This window comes from Homo sapiens, chromosome 2 (genome assembly GCF_000001405.40).
Source record: "Homo sapiens chromosome 2, GRCh38.p14 Primary Assembly".
NCBI lineage: Eukaryota > Metazoa > Chordata > Mammalia > Primates > Hominidae > Homo > Homo sapiens.
In genome coordinates, this window is record NC_000002.12 from 221671706 (window position 1) to 221690799 (window position 19094).

The 19094-nt window shown below is 37.8% G+C and overlaps 1 long non-coding RNA gene across 3 annotated transcripts in view, besides 1 other annotated feature; it reads left to right on the plus strand.

Moving 5' to 3' along the window:
* LOC105373899 (uncharacterized) overlaps window positions 1-19094 on the plus strand; it is a 101158-nt gene that overhangs the window by 34177 nt on the left and 47887 nt on the right. For all 3 annotated transcript variants that reach the window (XR_923942.1, XR_001739235.1, XR_001739234.1), the window contains one exon: window positions 11730-11875. This is a non-coding gene — a long non-coding RNA (uncharacterized LOC105373899). The remainder of the gene's footprint in view (window positions 1-11729; window positions 11876-19094) is intronic.
* Window positions 5668-6480: an enhancer, noted in NCBI's record as "NANOG-H3K4me1 hESC enhancer chr2:222542093-222542905 (GRCh37/hg19 assembly coordinates)". NCBI's record gives its function as "activates a minimal SCP1, AML or CMV promoter by ChIP-STARR-seq in primed H9 embryonic stem cells {active_cell/tissue: H9 hESC(primed)}" and the evidence as "EXISTENCE:reporter gene assay evidence [ECO:0000049][PMID:30033119]".

The following is a 19094-nucleotide window of genomic DNA, read 5'->3' on the forward strand; positions in this document are numbered from 1 at the left end:
TGGCTGTGCATGTGCTGTAAACGTTTGGGTTTAGTTTTTCTCCATCCACTCTTGCTGAAGGGTTCAGAATGTTTATCTAGTGACTAAACCCGTTCTCAGCATCCCTGAGGCAATTGCCTATGCTTAAAATTTATACATATATATGCATTTTCAGTCCTATGTGTTAGGAAAATCTTTGCTTCCCCTAGAGACCAGAAGTATTTTTCCCCTTATATACAATGCAAAATTATATAACTGATTATTTTTTCTTCTAGGCCTTATCCACCAGGAAGATAGGAGCCATTATTACATCTGATATGGTTTGGCTGTGTCCCCACCCAAATCTCATCTTGAACTGTAGCTCCCATAATGCCCATATGTCATGGGAGGGACCTGATGAAAGATAATTGAATCATGACAGCAGTTACCTCCAAGCTGTTCTCGTGATAGTGAGTGAGTTCTTATAAGATCTAATGGCTGTATAAGGAGCTTTCCCCTACCCCTTCACTTTACACTTCTCCTTGCTGCTGCCATGTGCAGAAGGATGTGTTTGCTTTCCCTTCCATCATGATTGTAAGTTTCCTGAGGTCTCCCCAGCCATGGTGAACTGTGAATCAATTAAATCTCTTTCCTTTATAAATTACCCAGTCTCAGGTATGTCTTTATTAACAGCATGAGGATAGACTAATACAATTCCTAACTTCAATAATGTAGGACACTAGGCCCTGCACATCTGCATTCTGATTCTACCCTCACAGTCCTCCCACCCTCCCCCGCCCCACCCTTCCTCTGTGGCTCTGTCCTGAGTCACACAGCACAGCCATCCTTCTATTTGCCAGCTGTAAAGAGCACATACAAGCTATTCACCTGTAACCACTTTCAGGTATTTGTTTGTCCTCTTGATTTTTCACATAACCCATTTTCCATAGCTGCATCTTCCTGCCACTTATAGCCACAATTGTCTACCCAATTCCGTTTCTTGACCTTCTCTTTGGTTTTAGTGATCCTTAGTTTTCTCAGTGAAGGTTCACCACCCTCACTGGCCAGGTGGCAGTCAGCCCATGACCCCTTCCCAGAAGAGGTAGATGTGAAAATGTTTTAACTATATTGTCCCCAATAATGATTTTTATCTGCCTGAGCTTTCCCATTTTATAATAACTATTCTTATGTGCCACCAAAAATGTTTGGTGAAATAAGATGAAAATTAAATAAACAGGATTTTAAAATATATGTTAATTTTTTCATGAAGGAAAATTTTAAACATATATAAAAGTAAAATCCTCATGTACCTAAATCCAGATTCAACAATTAGGAACTCACAGCCAATTTGTTTTACCTATACCCTGACCACTAAATGGCATTTCCCTACTCCATGTTATTTTTAAGTAAATCCCATTTATCATACAACTTAATTTGTAAATATTTCAGTACATAACTCTTTAGAAAAACTCTCTAGAAACAATTTCATACACAGGCAGTTGTAGAAAAACTCTCTAAAAACAATTTCTTACACAGGCAGCTGAAAATTACTGGTTTGAAGGAAAATTATAAGTGAAGTTTTGGTTCAAGACTAACTAGTAATCCCAGAAGCATGAACAAGAACACTGATCTCTTCCAGAGAAAAAGAAAGTTTCAGGGTGAATTCCTTGCTCACAAAACTGGAGAATAATGGGATTATACTAAGCAGTGATTAATAACATTTGATTTTGTAACAAAGTAGAGAAAATGTATCTTACTCATCAGCATTGAAATTTTTCCTCAAGGCACAATGAGACACCATGACGCACCCACTAGAATGATTAACATTAAAGAAATTGACAATGCCAAGTGCTGACAAGGATATGTAACAATTAGACATCTCTTAGATTTCTGATATGGATGTAAAATGGTACAAACTACTTTGCAAATCTATTTGGCAGTTTCTTATAAAGTTAAACATGGATCTACACTTCCAGATCAGCTTTTCCTCTCTAACCCAAACTTACAAACAACTTAAATGCCCATCAACTAGAAACTATCCATTCCTGGAATGTTACTCAGTAATTAAAGATCAGGAGCAAACCTCTGAGACATGTTGAGTAACCATGTGATTCTTACACCTAAATTTGCAAAATCATCAACTATATGCTGAAGATATATGCAATCTACAGATGGTAAAATATCCCTCAATAAAAAATTATCTTCAAGAGAAAACTGGCTTTTCTGGAGAGACGCCCTGATGAAGTCTTAATGTAGAAAGTGAAGCCTTGCCCTTCGCTCTCAGTCCACTCCCTGCCCCATGTGAGACATTGGTGCCAGTGTGCCAAGGCTTAAGAAAGGAGAGCAAAATTGCTCCACTTAAAAAGTGAGCATCCTTGGGGGAGGCAGGGAGAGAGGGAAACAGAAGAGAAAAGAAGAGATGGAGCAAGAAGAGGGGGAGGTTTCATGGGCTGAAAATATCCCTTCCCAGTACCTCTTAGAATGTTTAGTAAAATTAGATAAACAGAAAAAATATTGCTGTGGTTCTGTTACTGTTGGTGTAGAAACCATAGATGAGGCTAGGTTTCACTTAGAGGAAAATATAATGAGGAAGAAAAACAGCTCAAGAGGAAAGCGGAATCCTAGGGGCAGAGAAGAGCATGTGCAGAATTAATGCACGATTTTTTTTGTTTGTTTTTTGAAACAAGGTCTTGCTCTGTCGCCCAGGCTGGAGTGCAGTGGCATGATCATGGCTCACTACAGCCTCGACCTCTCAGCTTCAAGCAACTCTCCTGCCTCAGCCTCCTACGTAGTTGGGACAACAGGTGCACATCACCATGTTTGGCTAATTTTTGTATTTTTTGTGAAGATGGGGTTTTGCCATGGTGCCCAGGCTATTCTCAAACTTCTGACCTAAAGTGATTTGCCCGCCTCAGCCTCCCAAAGTGCTGGGACCACAGGTATGAGTCACCATGCTCAGCCTAGTTTGGGGTTTTGGACTTTTATGGGCAGTGCAATTGCTGGGTCTAAGCAATTTGAGGTGGAACTCGAATAGCATGGAGGTTTCCCAGAAGGGACGTGGGTTAATGTAGAATGCTTAATTGCACCTCATGTTTCTCATTCCTTTGAATCACACTTTTCTGTGGTCTTAAACTAAGATCTTCAAGGGTTTTGCTCAATTATTTTAATAAAGAGGTTTTTTTTTGTGGGAGCGAAGAATCATGATTGCTGAGGATTGTGCATACATTGTATTCTCTAAATTAATTCTCTGTTATAGCATCAAATATCTTAACCAAAGCTGAACTTCTCATAAGCAGGAAGCTTACACTAATTAAAAACTAAGTGCCTAGAAAAACCGGACATTTTCTATTAGCAACATAAATCAAAATCAATAAAGTAATACTATATAAACTGTGAAACACCCCATCTTTAGACTCTATGACCCGAATAAGCTTGAATGAAGAGGTAGATATTCAATAGAGTAAGTACCTAAGCAATAGTGAGGGAAGGGGCCTCCATAATTCATGGGGCCAAACCAACGTGGCTTTAACATGTGTCTTAACTTCATGTGAAGAGGATAGAATTTGAATTCCTTGTGATGTCTTTAAAATCACCTCCCTTTTATTTCTCCTGATCTCCTTTTATTTCTGGTTTCTTATAGTCTGATCTCATGAGACTGCCTGGCTTGGTTCTGAATCTCCCACTTGAAGGCATTTGCACTCGTTTAATTAATTGACCCAGTGAGTGCTGCTCAAAAAACAGAGCGACTCTCTCTTTCCTATTAGATAATTGCATGGTGCCACAATGACACTGCGGAGTTCATCATTTGCAAGATTATATATTAAGGGATGGAAACTCACAGTGAATGGTAACATATACTCTTATAACCCACTTATCTTTATATCACTCAATCACTGGAAAACACAAAGAACTGCAAAAAAGAAAAAAAAAAGTCTTTTCATGACCGTTGTTGCCATTCTCTGACCCGTTGGTTAGTTCCTCCTATAAAGGAGTCATTTATGGCAGTGAGTCCAGGAACTGACTGGAGTTTTATGTCTGAGAGAGCCTCCTAAGCCTTTCATACTTGGATTTAGCATTACTAAAGGGCATATTAACATCAGTAAATCTTGGCCCCAGTGACTTCATGGCATCTCAATAAAACAGTGTAAAGGACTTTTTCAGAATGCAAGTAAAAACTTATCAGAAGCCATTAAAAGGAAATTCCACAGCCACCACTTTTTTTTATTATGTCTTAAGCTTTTTTCTTGGCATGTTAACCATGAACTCATTGAATGCATTTCAAATATTAGACAATTCTGTTCACACCAAAGAGTCTATTTTTACATAAAACTTAAATTGAAATCATCTTATGTTTAATAGAAACAGACGTGTATTTAAAACGAGAAGTGGTGGGAGCAGAAAACCTATAAAAATGGATTTTATTTTTATAGGACGTAGAAGTAGTAGAAAGTCATTTTTGAAGAAATTGCCTAATTGATGGGATTCTGGGTGATTTTATTCACTTCTTTACACTTATCTGAATTGTCCAATTTTCCTTCAATGAATATTTTACTTTCATAATAAGAAACATGTCTAATAGTGGACAAATCATTAAAGTTTGTTTAATGAGCACAGAGTTGAAGCAATGGAGGTTTACTGTATCAGTCAGATCTCTTGTCCTCTGGTTAGGGGGAAGCCTAATACAAAACTTTTTTTTTTTTTTTTTTTTTTTTTTTTTTTTGAGACAGAGTCTCACTCTGTCGCCCAGGCTGGAGTGGAGTGGCGCGATCTCAGCTCACTGCAACCTCTGCCTCCCAGGTTCAAGGTTCAAGTGATTCTCCTTCTTCAGCATCCCGAGTAATACAAAACATTTCTAAAATACTCAGATACCGGTCAGCTATGCAATCTCTTTAAGCCTCAGTTGTCTCATATGTAAAATGAGGAAAGTGAGAGTACCCACCTGATAGGTTTGTAAGGATTAAGTGATGCTGTATGAAAAGTATTTAGTACATGGCCTGGCACGTAATCAACATCCACTATAGCTCAGTTACTATTAGTCATTCCACCAAATAGGCTAAGCTAAAGTCTGTTTACTCTTCCCGCTTTTGGCTGAGAAAACTTTCTATCTTAGAGTCAGTTGAGAAATAGCTAATCTCCTTGCTACTTAGGTCACAATATCCTTTGCTTAGAGTTGTATAAATCTGCTCTATATAAATACACACACACACACACATACACATATGCACACATACCAGATACTTCTGAGTAGAAGCTCAGTGATTTCACGGTGGAAGTCCGAGCCTGGAAGGGGACTGTTGGAGAGATGAAACACAAGTGACTAACCAACAACCACCAAAGGAGGCTGGCTAAGCCATGTATGAACGGCAGCTGCCTCTGCACTGGGGATGGTCCTGAGGCCACTGCAAGTCAGCAGGGCAGGCAATAAGGAGGAAAAGCCGATTTGAGGTGGATGAGAATTAGGACAAACTAGGACCCTCATCTTTAACCTCAGTGATGTGCATGACCTACAGAAGAGGCTGGAGCCCTTCGCCGGGGAGCTGCACACACATCTGGCCCCATACTCGAAGAAGCTGCATAACTAGGAAGACAGGGCAGCTGTAAGCTCAGCTGCTGGCCTCAGCCAGCAAGCAGGACCACAAAGCAGCCACGTAGGCAAGCTCTCCAACAGCACCTGACACCTACATCCACCTTCAGAGAGTGACAGCTGCCGCCTTATTTCCATCTTCCGAATTTTAGGCACATTTCTCTAATGGCCTGCCCTAACCCAGAACCATCCCGGAAAGGGAGATCTTGGATACGTGCCTCTCTTCTTGGATATGTGGTTCTAGATTTTAGCTAAGCTGACACTGTACAAAACCACTTGAGGTGGCCTTCTATTTAGGTCCAGGTCCTTGTGGGTACTGTGCTAATTCTGATCCAAGCTCAGCTGATTTCCAAACCTTTTGGCTCTGAATTTAATGGGAAGATAGAAGAGCGGCTTTTCTTCTTTTCAGGAGAATAACTTCAGACATACTGCAATCTACTTGAAATTTATCATGTCTATCTGAAGTCTCTTAAAGTCTCAGCAGAGAAGTTAAATGTATAGAGGGCCTACTGAAGGGCAGCCAATTTTACTCATTCTCCTATATCAGTGCTTCTCAAACAGAATCACTTGGAAATGATTGCTGTCCTCCCCTGCCCCCTCAGCAGAGTTTCCGAGCTCTAGATCTGGAGCAAGGACCAATAATTTGCATTCCTAACAAGTCTTATGTGATGCAGATGCTGCTAGAAGAGCTACTGCTCTGAATAATAGTTAAGAACCATGTCAGAATCACCTGGGGAACTTTCTAAAATTCAGGGAATGGTGCCCATGGCACATCATGGACTCAGTATCTTCATTTGGGGTGGAAGATGAATATTTTCTTTTTGAAAAAGTGTTACAAGTGATCGTGATTTGCACATCAATCTAAAACCTACAGTTTTATAAATTTCACGTACCTTATTTCCAGCATGTTAATAGATGTTATTGAAAAAAAGTGGTAGGGGCTGGAGTTGGGGGGCTTCTGTGATCAAATATGGTGTGAAAAACAGAATTCAATAATGTTAAGCTGGTTTCTATGCAGGACATATCTGTAAGTGATAGCAGATGCTGGTGTCAGGTATTGTACATGATGAATTAACCTAAACAGCAACCCTATAAAGAAAATACTATTCTTCTTCTTCTTCTCGTTTTGCAGATGAGGACACTGAGGTATGGAGAGGTTAGTAACATGTCCCAGATGTAAGTGCAACTAAGGCCTAACAACAAGAGCCAAGTGATATGGTTTGGCTGTGTCTCCACCTGAATTTCATCTTGAATTGCAGCTCCCATAATGCCCACGTGTTGGGGGAAGGACCCGGTGGGAGGTAATTGAATCATAGGGCAGTTACCGCCATGCTGTTCTTGTGATAGTGAGTTCTCACGAGATCTGATGGTTTTATAAGGGGTTTCCCCTGCTTTTGCTAATTCTTCTCCTTCCTGCTGCCGTTTGAAGAAGCACATGTTTGCTTCCCTTTCTGCCCTGATTGTATGTTTTCTGAGGTCTGGCCATGCTGAACTGTAAGTCAATTAAACCTCTTTCCTTTATAAATTACCCAGTCTTGGGTATGTCTTTATTAGCAGCATGAGTACTAACTAATACACCAAGATAAAGCCCAGACACTTGGGCTCCAGAGTCTGAGCTCTTGACCACAATGCTGTAGTGATTTACCCAAGTTCTTAGCAACATAATGGGTACACAGGACATCTCCAAGAATAATATGCAGCCTTTCCCAAACTTATTTGCTTATAGACAGCCATTAGGTTATAGTATGAACTGCAATGAAAACGTAACCCCATGGAAATAATCATTGTGCTTTTTGTAAGAACATGTGATGTTTTACATCTCACAGTGTCTTGATTGTATGGCTCCCATTTGGTATCAGAAATAAATGTGATTTTTTAATACTGAGCAACTAACTTTTTTTTTTTAATCTCAGGGACACCATGAATCATGTAATTAATCCTGTTTTACTCCTGGAGTTTGCTACTGGCAAACAAGCATGTTATTATTGGCATCATTTAGTACTAAAAAACCTTGTCATATTAAAGACCAAAATTTTCTAGTAAATGATCACAGTGACTGGGTAGGAGGTGAGGGTGGGGATAGAGAAGGTTGATAGAAATTTTATCGCAAAAGCAAAGTTTAAAAGAAGTTTATTTTCTTTTATAACATACGTAGAAGCTATGCACTGACTTATCAAACAAAACTCAAATTATGTTGATTATTTGAGTTTTTTTCCCCGATAAAATTATATGATAGCTTAGTAAGACATCTTTCACATTTGACTTTCATAGTAAGATATAGAAGGTCATTTCTGCAGAAATACTCAAGAGCTTCATTGATTTTCCCAAGGGCCTTTCTGATCCTTTGATATTCAAATCCTTTGCTTTTGAAGCACACACCAGTGATGTTCTCCTCATCCATTTTCCCTTATTTAGTTGTTAACCACCCTAACTCTGCCAGATCCTCATTTGCCACTGGCTTGTAATTCAAGCAGTTATCCAATCTGACTTTCATCTCCTTCATGAAGCCTTGCATCTTTTTCAGGGTTAGCAATTTCACCATGCAATGTACTATGTTTGCATTGTACAATTGCAATGACCAGGAAGAGATTGATAGAGGACTCAACTGGTGAAGACAGATGTTAGAGTTAAGCAAGGAGACCATTTTCAAAGTTGACATTCATTAGCAAAAATTTCGTGATGACTTTGCTTTCTTACAACCCTTGCAACTTCTCAGGCTCTGTTAATAAATTCAGATTATAACAACACTCTCTATGTAAAATTTCATGCTATGCATGTTTGTGAATGGACTTCATCCATGTCTTTATGACCCTACTCATATTCCCTTTGTTTTGTCTTTTCAATTCATTCTAATTTGTCATTTTTCTTTTCTTTCTTTCTTTCTTTTCTTTCTTTCTTTCTTTCCTTTTTGCATTTCTGTAAGCAAAAGCTTGGCACTGTTTGGAATGCATAAAAGTAGAATAAAAGGACTAAATACATAAATATTAATTATATTCTATAATCTTTCTTGACACTGCTGTTTAGTGCCACAGTGTCCGAGGACTTTGACTGACAGCCTTCACATTGCACTGCTTTTGAACCATGACGTATGAATCAGGCACTATTCAAGTTTTATGTCTCCAGTTAAGCCTCATGACACTTGGTTTAAAAGCATTTCTGAACTCCTATTTTTCAACTTCTGTTTTCCAAATATTTACATGGATCTTTATATTATTTAAATGCAAGATAGGTCCAGCTGTCAGCAATTGGGACATCCATATCGAGAGGAAATGAAGTATAAAATGATTTTCTCTAGCTCTTTGTCCAAAAGGCAAGTGAGAAACATTTTCACAAATATATGTAATCCTCACAGCTAATTATGATTTTTCTCATTTCAATTTTAATTATTTTTTTTAAATCCACACTTTCTTTTATCCCTCATGGCAGTTTCATTGTCATTAAAAGTACTGCTCTATTGTGTACATCCTCTATTCATATTCATGAGGTCAAGACCATTCAACCATGGTAATTGAGTGGTCTGATTGGCTGAATGTCCCACAGTGGTTTAAAGTGATACTGATGAACAAAAGGCACCAAAGCCTCTGCCATGATAGGAAGGATAATTATGTAGGATCTTAAATGGGGGCTCTAATCATTTGACAATGCCCATTGGACTTGCATAATATTAATACATTATCTATCATCTCACTATGATTAAGTAGTATTTAATTATTCTTTTTTATGGGGATTATCCCCACTAAGTATGTCTCATATCTACCAGCTTAGCACACCTGCTTTTCTGGATTTTCTAGGAAGGAATTTATTTTTGTGTAGTATGAAAGTCAGACATGAACATATGTAAAATTATTATCACCAAATTGGTAAGACATTTTCAAGAATATCCTGGAATATCATGATAGTGCTAAATTGGATATAGATTGTTTTGCTCCAGGATGGGTAAAGTAGGGCTACATTTTGTCTTGTGATTCCTTTCTTTGAGTTCCAAGGAAGTTTCTTGCTTGCACTTCTTCCACTGCTCTGGAGCCATGTAACCTCTGGCATGACATTTACACTCTCTGGGTTTCTGATTCCTAATCTATAAAATGAGGGATGTTAAGGAAAATGGCTTGGAAGCCATCATTCAGCTTGAGAATTCTGTAATCTCACATAAATGTCTATTTTGCTTCATTAGTGGGATTTTTGTCCTGCATGACAGTTTATACAGTGGTCTTTAAAGTCAAGTCTAAACACCATAGAAGGTGTACAAAGCCATTTCCTATAGTGTAGAAAGAACTCACTGGAACTTTGTTTATATTTATTTTAAAGTATCTTTAAAGACTTCCTATTATATATTTGTGTTTCATATTCACTATGATTTATGAGTATTTAATATGTGCTAGGCACTATTCTAAGTGCTTTAAAGTTAGTAATATTATTTAATCTTTACTGCAACTCTATGAAGTAGATACGCTTACCATACTCGTTTTTACTGCTGAGAAAACTTGAGATGTCAAAGTTATGGAAATTGCCCAAAATAACACAAAGTTAAAATGTTTTAATGGTGACAACCCAGGTATGAGTTCCACCTCTTAACTACTCACTATGCAATGCTTGTACAGTTATAGAATCTAAAATAAATAAGCACAAAGTAAATAGATAATGACAATATAGGATGTGTATTAGACATACTCGAAAGTGACCCCCCCATTCCCATGATCCCTGCCTCCTGATATTCATAGTTTTGTGCCATCATCTCTGCTTGAGTATGAACAGGACTTGTGAATTCTTTTTAATGAATAGAATATGGTCAAGGTGATAGATTATCACTCTCATGATTACCTTTGCTAACAGATTTTCTCTGACACAGTCTTACCTCTGATGGCTTTGAAGAAGCAATCTGTGAACTGCCTATGGAGAAGTCCACATGGCAAAGAGCTGTGGGCAGCACCTGGGAGCTGAGAGTGACTGCCAGCCAACAGCCAGTGAGAAACTGACACTGTCAGTCATTCCTACAACCACAGAAACCTAAATCCTGCCAATAGTTATGTGAGTGAGGAAGTGCATTCTTTCCCAGTCCAGCCTCTAACGAGACACCAGTCCCAGTCTACACCTCAATTACTGCCTTGCAGTGAACCCACCTAAACTGCACCCCAACTTCTGACCCACAGACACTGTGAGATAGGAAATAAGTGCTCTTTTCAGCCTTAAAGTTTGTGATAATTTGTTACACAGCAATAAAAATACAGGAGACAGCTACCTATTGTTTTAGCCCCAAAAGGTGAGCCATTTAAAAATATACCCCTTTAGTTTCTCTCTGTAACCAATCAAATGGAAATGAAGATTTCAGTTTTGATCTATTATGTTTTCGCCAATGACAGTGAAACTTTTTCATTAAAAAAAACTTTTACATAGGCATCAATTTATGCAATTAGGAAAATAACATAACATTTAAATCTGGGATTTTTCTTTTCCCCATACTTCACACATTTTTAAAGCATGTTATCCTATAAGAAAAAGTGGCGTAAGTGTCCTATTAGTTATTATATAATTTTTAACATTTACAAAGCTTTGTTACCTGAATTTCAGAAAGAACAGTCACAGATCATGAGAATCTCTTTTCTTCTCCTTCTCCCTTCCCTGCCACTGAAATCAAACATACAAACCAACAAACAAACAGTTGCCTTGGTAAATTTTCTCTAAAACACAGTGTATTAGTCCATTTTCATGCTGCTGATGAAAACATACCCAAGACTGGGTAATTTATAAAGAAAAAAAGTTTAATGGACTCACGTGTTTGGGGAGGCCTCACAATCATGGCAGAAGGTGAAAGGCACGTCTTACATGGTGACAGACAAGAGAGAATGAGAGCCAAGTGAAACTGGTTTATAAAACCACTGGATCTCGTAAGACTTATTCACTATCATGAGAACAGGATGGGGGAACCGCTCCCATGATTCAAGTATCCCCCACTGGGTCCCTCACACAAGACATGGGAATTATGGGAGCTATAATTGAGAATGAGATTTGGGTGGGGACACAGCCATATTGTATCACAGAGGTTCAATCGACTTTCAATCATATTTTATTTGCTTCCTCTGTGTTCATAATGCTGATAATACTTTTAATTATCACCACCATTGTACAAGATAACTGTCCCCAGACCAACATTTTTTATGTGAATATTAATTGATTGAATTACTGATTCCAGAGAAGGGAAATTACTTATCATCAAACTTAATGCATGAAGAGGCAGGGGATTCTAGGAAGATGGACGTTTCTGCATTCTTGCTACTCTCAACTCCATTCCAACTCATCTGTCTCTCCTCAGCCAGTGACTCCTGAGGGCAGTGTCAGGTAAGCTTGGAGAACATTAGTGAAGGAGCTATAGTTGTCCTTTGTGCTCTGGTCCTGAGGACCAGCCGGAGAGCACTTCAGAAGCAGATGACTGTAGAGATTTCCAGTCCTCAGCGAAGCTTACCTTCTGTACATGGGAATGTGGTGGGCCATCCTAGCCCACAAGGGCTTAGAAGTGAACAGGTGGGGAAGAGTCCTCTTCACCCATGAGGCTTAGAGATACAAGAAACAGAGATCACATCAGGGATTCTGAACACCTGTCTGCTGCTGCACCAATAGCCTGCAGGGACCACTGCCACTTAAAGTCCCCTTGCAACTGGAGTGCTGACACCTTAGGGACACAATGGAGAGGAAAGAAAAAAAAGCTATATATCTAGGCAGGGATCAAGGGACAGAAAAGGGTAAATAGAAGTCTCCTAAGAAAAGTAGTTGTTTAAGGAGACAGGTGTCAACTTGCACAATTAGATTGGATTTAAGATCAACACACAAAAAAGACTCTGGAATAGAAAACATTATTTTGAACTGAAAAATACATAATAAATGAGTTTAAAAACATGATGGTCGCAATTGACCTAAAAAATCACTAGAAGAAATCTTCTAAATCCTAAATCCTAGAACTAAAGTACAAAGAGATCCAAATTGTGAAAGAAAAGATGAAACTTTAGAGATGGACAGATGAGACCTCATGTATATATAATGATTACTATTGAAGGATAGAAACAAGAAACAGATGGGGGAGACGCCAAACATAAACTAGCAATAGAACATTTCCAGCCAGATTCAGTGGCTCATGCCTGCAATCCCAGTGCTTTGGGAGGCCAAGGTGGGAGGATTGCTTGAGCCCAGGTATTTGAGGCTGCAGTGAGCTATGATCACACCACTGCACTCCAGCCTGGGCAACAGAGTGTGACCCTGTCTCTTTTTTAAAAAGTAAAGAAAGAAAATTTCCTTGAACTAAAGAACCAAGTCTGTATTTTTAAAGGGTTTACTGCACAGGCTTCATAAGACATTTTCATAGGTATATGTTTATAAAATTACTGAACCTCAAAGATAAAGTGATAATCTTACCCTTATTTTGGAGAAAGGACAAGCTATTTAAAAAGATAAAAACTTAGACTGGCATCACAGTTTGTGAAGACCACGTTGGAGTCTGTAAGACTGACCAAAATTGCCACACCCAAGTACATGAGAGTCAGGCAATAAATGAGTATTGAGTGCCAACAATATCCACATATAAAATAAGTAACTAGGGCTGGGCATGGTGGCTCATGCCTGTAATTCCAGCACTTTGGGAGGCCAAGGCAGGCGGATCAAGGTCAGGAGTTCGAGACCAGCCTGGCCAACATGGCGAAACCCCGTCTCTACTAAAAGTGCAAAAATTAGCCGGGTGTGTGGTGGGTGCCTGTAATCCCAGCTACTCAGGAGGCTGAAGCAGAAGAATTGCTTGAACCTGGGAGGCGGAGGTTGCAGTGAGCCAAGATCACGCCACTACACTCCAGCCTGGGTGACAAGATCGAGACTCTGTCTCAAAAAACTAAAAAAAATAAATAAATAAATAATAAATAAAATAAGCAACTAGTACAATATCTTCAGAGAGACATGTTAAAGATTTCCTACCCTATGGCTGGGCTGGTCATTAGGGAAAAGGTTCAGGCATTGATTTATTTAAAAGTGTATTTATTTATTTATTGAGACAAGGTCTGACTCTATTGTCCAGGCTGGAATACAGTGGCACGATCTTGGCTCACTGCAACCTCTGCCTCCCAGATTCAAGCCATTGTCCCACCTCAGCCTCCTGAGTGTCTGAGACTTCAGGTGTGTACCACCATGCCTAGCTAATTTTTGTATTTTTTGTAGAGATGGGGTTTCAGCATGTTGCCCAGGCTGGTCTCGAACTCCTGGGCTCAAGGGATCTGCCTGCCTCGGCCTCACAAAGTGCTGGAATTACACGTGTGAGCCACTGCAACTGGCTTAAAAATATAATTAGAGAAGAATTAATTAATAAATGGTGCTAACCCAATTTATCATTTATATAGAAAAAAATGAATCGAAACCCTATCAAACACTGTAAAACAAGAAATTCCAGATATTTGTAAGACAGGAAAAATATATTGGGTTACACACCGTGCTTTTATAATTTGTAACTCCAAGGAGGCAGAAGTAAAGGAGGTGAGGTAAAGGAGATTGCCTCTGTATGTCTTTGTATAGCATGAAATAACTCATGAAAATAACTCATGGTGGATATAAGTCTATTGCAAATTTTAGTTTGAAATACATTTAATAAAAAATTAAAACTAAAAAATAGAACAAGGTTTATTTTACTTTCTGCGTGTAAATAATTGCTGAAAAGATATATACATGTTTCTATTCTTATTCTGTGTGAACAGTCTTTTATAAAAACATTTATATTAGGCTTAGAGGTACATGAGCAGGTTTGTTATATAGGTAAATTGCAAGTCAGGAGGTTTGGTGTAACAGATTATTTCATCACCTAGGTAATATGCGTAGTATCTGATAATATTTACTTCATTCAAATTTTCAAATTACGAAAACAGTGGTTGGTCATTGTAACAAGTGAATCTACGTAAAGGTGTTCTCTCCCTTTTTTCTTTTTAGTCTGCTTGCTGTCCAACTTTTCCATTCCATTATCATTGCAAACTCTTTGGTGGATAATTTTCCAACTTTCTCTATATCTGTGCAAACACAGACTATAGTGGGAGAAAAGGCATTTTGAAAACAAAGTCTAGGCATTCAATGTGCTCACAACTGAGGGGTGTCATTACTTCTCTGGCCCTTTTAGTGGACAGAGCTAGGACCTATCAGTTATAAATCATGGATTCATACTATGCCTTCACATCCTGCATTATAGGGCTCTTAACTTCTTGATTTTACATTTTATCTCCTCCCACAGTTAGGATGCCAATTTCTAACATTAATATATTTACTCATTTGTTGTGCAAAACATGCAAAATTATTTTATAGTGACTGCGCTACACCAATACCACTATAAAAAACAAATCTTCTAACTAAAGTTCAAGGTTTCTTTACAGTACCTTTTGACCATGGACTCTAACCCATTAATGATATACAGTTAGATTACTGTGTACAAAAAGTATTCAAATTAATTACTTTATTTGTTTAATTATGTTATCAATTTGATATACAGTTAGGTTCATTTGTTTCTGTATGTAAATATTAGAGTTGACTCGTCTTTTTCTATGTACTATGGTTTTTGAACATGTAAAACATTTGCATATTTCAAAGGTCAAAACTACATAAAATCATATACTCAAGATGTCTCCCTCTAATCTCTATACTCTACCTTCCTCTGATGACTCACCTCCTTAATTAAACAATTTTTAATTAGAATCTAAATTATCCTCCCCATGTTCTTCCTTGCAAAAATAAGTGCCTACATGCACACATACACATTTATTTACATATTTTAGTTTTTATTTTCTCTTCTTTCTGTCATAAAACATAGCATATACTTGTTTTTGCACTCTATTCTTTTATTTAACAACCTATTCTGAAAATCATTCCATATGAATTCATAATGACTTTGTCTGTGTTCTTTTCAGGGCTCAGACTACCATGTGGATACACCATAGATAATAAACATTCTTTTGTATGAATAGTTCAATTCACAATAAGTAAAGAGAAATATTAAAGTACCAGAAAGGAGGAGAAAAAGGAACACCAGGATGGTTAGCAAGTGTGGATCCACTACAGCTACATTGGGAACAGGCATGCTAGTGGGAATCACGGGATTGTGGCCTGGGCCATAAATTTTTATTTCCACAGTTCTCAGGTCTGTTTGAGGCAGAGAGTTAGAACTGAAATACCCCCATGTAAAGCCAAGATCCTAAAAGAACTGTATCATTCCTGAAAGGATAAACGAAAAGAAAAAAAGCTTCCCATTGGCTTAGGTAGACAACAAGCAAATTTGTTTATGTTTGCCTAGATATTATACACCCTCATGGTCTGGGAAGCCTTAAATTAAAGATTTAATTTAAATATTGTTTCTAAAACAATGATCCAGAATGAAGCAATATAAAACTCATTTCAAGATATAATCCCACAACCAGGTCACAAAGACTGTCTCTGGGGGATGAGGAAGGGCTCTGCTATACTAAAAATAATTACAAAACCAATTCAACAAATAGCAGAACTAGAATTTCATAAACCCAAGCTAATAGAACAATAATCAGAAAGGAGTATCAATAAGTATGTTCAAAATAATTAAAGCCATTAAAGAATAATTACACACCTAAAAATGGATGGAACACCATTAACAAAGAAACAGTAGAAAGGGAAGCAAATGGTATTTCTTGAAATTAAAAAAATGTTTTTAAAATTAGAAACTTAGTAAATAGCTTAAACACAAGGTTAAATACAACCAGTGAAAGTCTGGTAAATGAGAAAATAAGTTTGACAATTACACATAATGAAGTTTATAGAGATAAAGGAATGAAAATTATAAAGACATTAAGATATATGTGGGACCTAATAAAAAAAAGTTCAGTATCCATTAATAGAATTTCTCAAAGAAGAGAGTAGAGAGAATAAAAAAAGTAATTTTCAAACATAAGAATAAAATATTTCCAGAATTGACCAAAGAAATGAATTCTCAGATTACGAAAGCATGACAATTTACTTGACAAATAAATAGTAACCCATACCCAGACTTCACAGCAAAATTCCAAAATAACAAAGGTAACGTTAATCTTTAAAGTAATCTCAAAGAAGATAACTTGCCTTCAAATGAACAAGCTCATCGAAGCCAAGTTCAAATGAAAATGGCTTTAAAGAAAAAGTTGTATCATTTTAAAAAGCATTATCGAAAAATATAGAGGAGCAAAACACAATGCTAAAAAAAATTATCATAAGAAGATTTCCAACTTATAGATACTAACAACACAGATGGAAAAGCTATGGCAAAAACTAGGAAAACTACAAGGAGAAATTGATAGATCCACACTTACAGTGGGAGATTTTAACATACTTCTTTTAGTAATTGATCAACCTAACCCATACATTGGTATCATTTAATAACATAATTAATAAGCCTGTTAATAGACCTTTATAAATACTGCACCTAACAGAGAATACATATTTTTAAGCATACTTAAAACATATCTAAAAATGTAATACATATTACACCACAAAGGAAATCTCAAAAATATTGAGGAATTACTGCCTACACACCGTGTTCTCAATAAAATAAAGTCAAAGCAAATAACTAAGAAACAGAACCCAATAGGAGTTCTGTTTAAATAGTAGTTAACCAGAACAAAGAAGATGAGGTGAGGTTAGGGGGGTCAAGGAGACACTATCCTAGACCTAGAGAAGAGCATTAGTGGGTCTCCTTAAAGTGGGTGGGGGGCTTGTACATTTTACTGAAAGGGCAACGTGGCTGGAGTTCCCTAGTGAAGGAAGTTATGAAGTGGAGGAAGACAGAGTGATACAAAGCCGAAAACATAAGCAGAAGGTAGACGAGGTAGCTGTTTCTGAATTATGATTTTTTGTTTGTTATATTTTATTTTTTTTTTGTTTTTTTTATCGACCAAGATTTTGTTTTTTGTCTGAAAACAATGAGAAATCATTGAAAGGTTTAAGAAAAGAAGCAGACATGTCTAGACGTGGAAGAGGAAAACTTGCCCCTGAGTGCTGCCTATAGACTGGATCTAATCAGACAAGGGTGGAAGTCAGAGACGAGTTAGGGAGCAAATTTGTAATTCAGGGGTGACGTGATGGGACTTTGGACAGGACGGGAGCAGGAAGTGGGTGGAGATGATCATGAATGGACTAATGTGAGAAATGTTTAGCACGTAAAATTTACAGGATTCAGTAATGACTTAGCTGTGGGAGTAGAGAAAGAGGGGGAGAATGGGCTAATTTGCTGAAATTAATAGATGATAACACCAGTAGGAAGAGAATCGGGCATCATGTTTCACAAACAGGGCTGAATTCTTTCTTTCCTCTGGGTTCTGTTGTTTGGAAGGCTGAACTTCTTGCTTAAACAACAACAACAACAACAGACTGCATATATCCTGCAAGACCCAGAGGATGTCTATTTTTTTCTATTCTTGGTAGTTTATATTCATACAGCACTCTCTGCCCTTTACAATTTCACTTAATTATTACAAGAATAGACCCAGGTGGGCCTGAAGGCCTACTAGTGGGGCAGGATGCCCAGCAATGTGAACCTGGGAAATTGAATTTTGATTCACCTTCAACACTCAGGAATATACCAAAAGTACCAGGGATGTTTCCAGTTAGAGTCTAGCGAGAAGACATACATATACCCAGAGATTCTAGGAACACTGAGAAAGGACTGAAGACTACAAAAATCCCATTAAAATGGCAAAGAGCTGCTCAAAAAACCTCTAAGTTTCTTTTCCCAAGAGGCAGTAACAGCAGCTTCTGGCTGCCTTCAATTGGAAGCTGCCCTATCTCCAACTCCATGTAGCAGCCATCTGTGCATACTGAATTAACTTGTTTGCCCATATTAAAGGGGCTCATATCTTTTCCGTGTCTTTTGACATTTTAGAGCTTCAGCTGGTGTTACACACACACACACACACACACTCACACACACCCCTGAGGGATTTATTCATATGAAATCAAAACTTTGGAACTGCCTGCATCTTGAAACTATTTGGATCACTTTCTATTTACCTGATTAATAATTCTTTTTGTCCTTACATATCTATTCACTTTGATAGCCTATCATTTTTGTTTATCATAGCTACATTTATGTTGTTGTATTTTTGTGATAACAGGAGTGATTCACAAATTGTAACATCATCCCCAGTCTCAAGTCTCTGCCAGTGATTTCCCATCATACTTAGAATAATAATGATGGGCTATGAGATCCCACATAATCTGATCCTTGGCTTCTTCTACACCCCCTTCCCTTCTCCTCTTTCTATACTCTAGCCACATTGCCTTTCTTCATAGAATACAACAAGCTCATACACACCTCAGGGCCTTTGCAAATTCTGTCCCCTTTATTTGAAAACTCCCTCCAGATATTGATATGACTTATCCTTTATAGTAGACATCACAATGTTCACTAATATCTGCTTCTCTTTTACTTGCGGGTACACAGAGGATTACATTGATGATAGGCTGATGCCATGTGAAGAGAAGGGCATGTCACTTCCAAGTGAAAGGTTTAGCTGTGCTTAGTTGTGCTGTCTGACTCTCCAGCCTT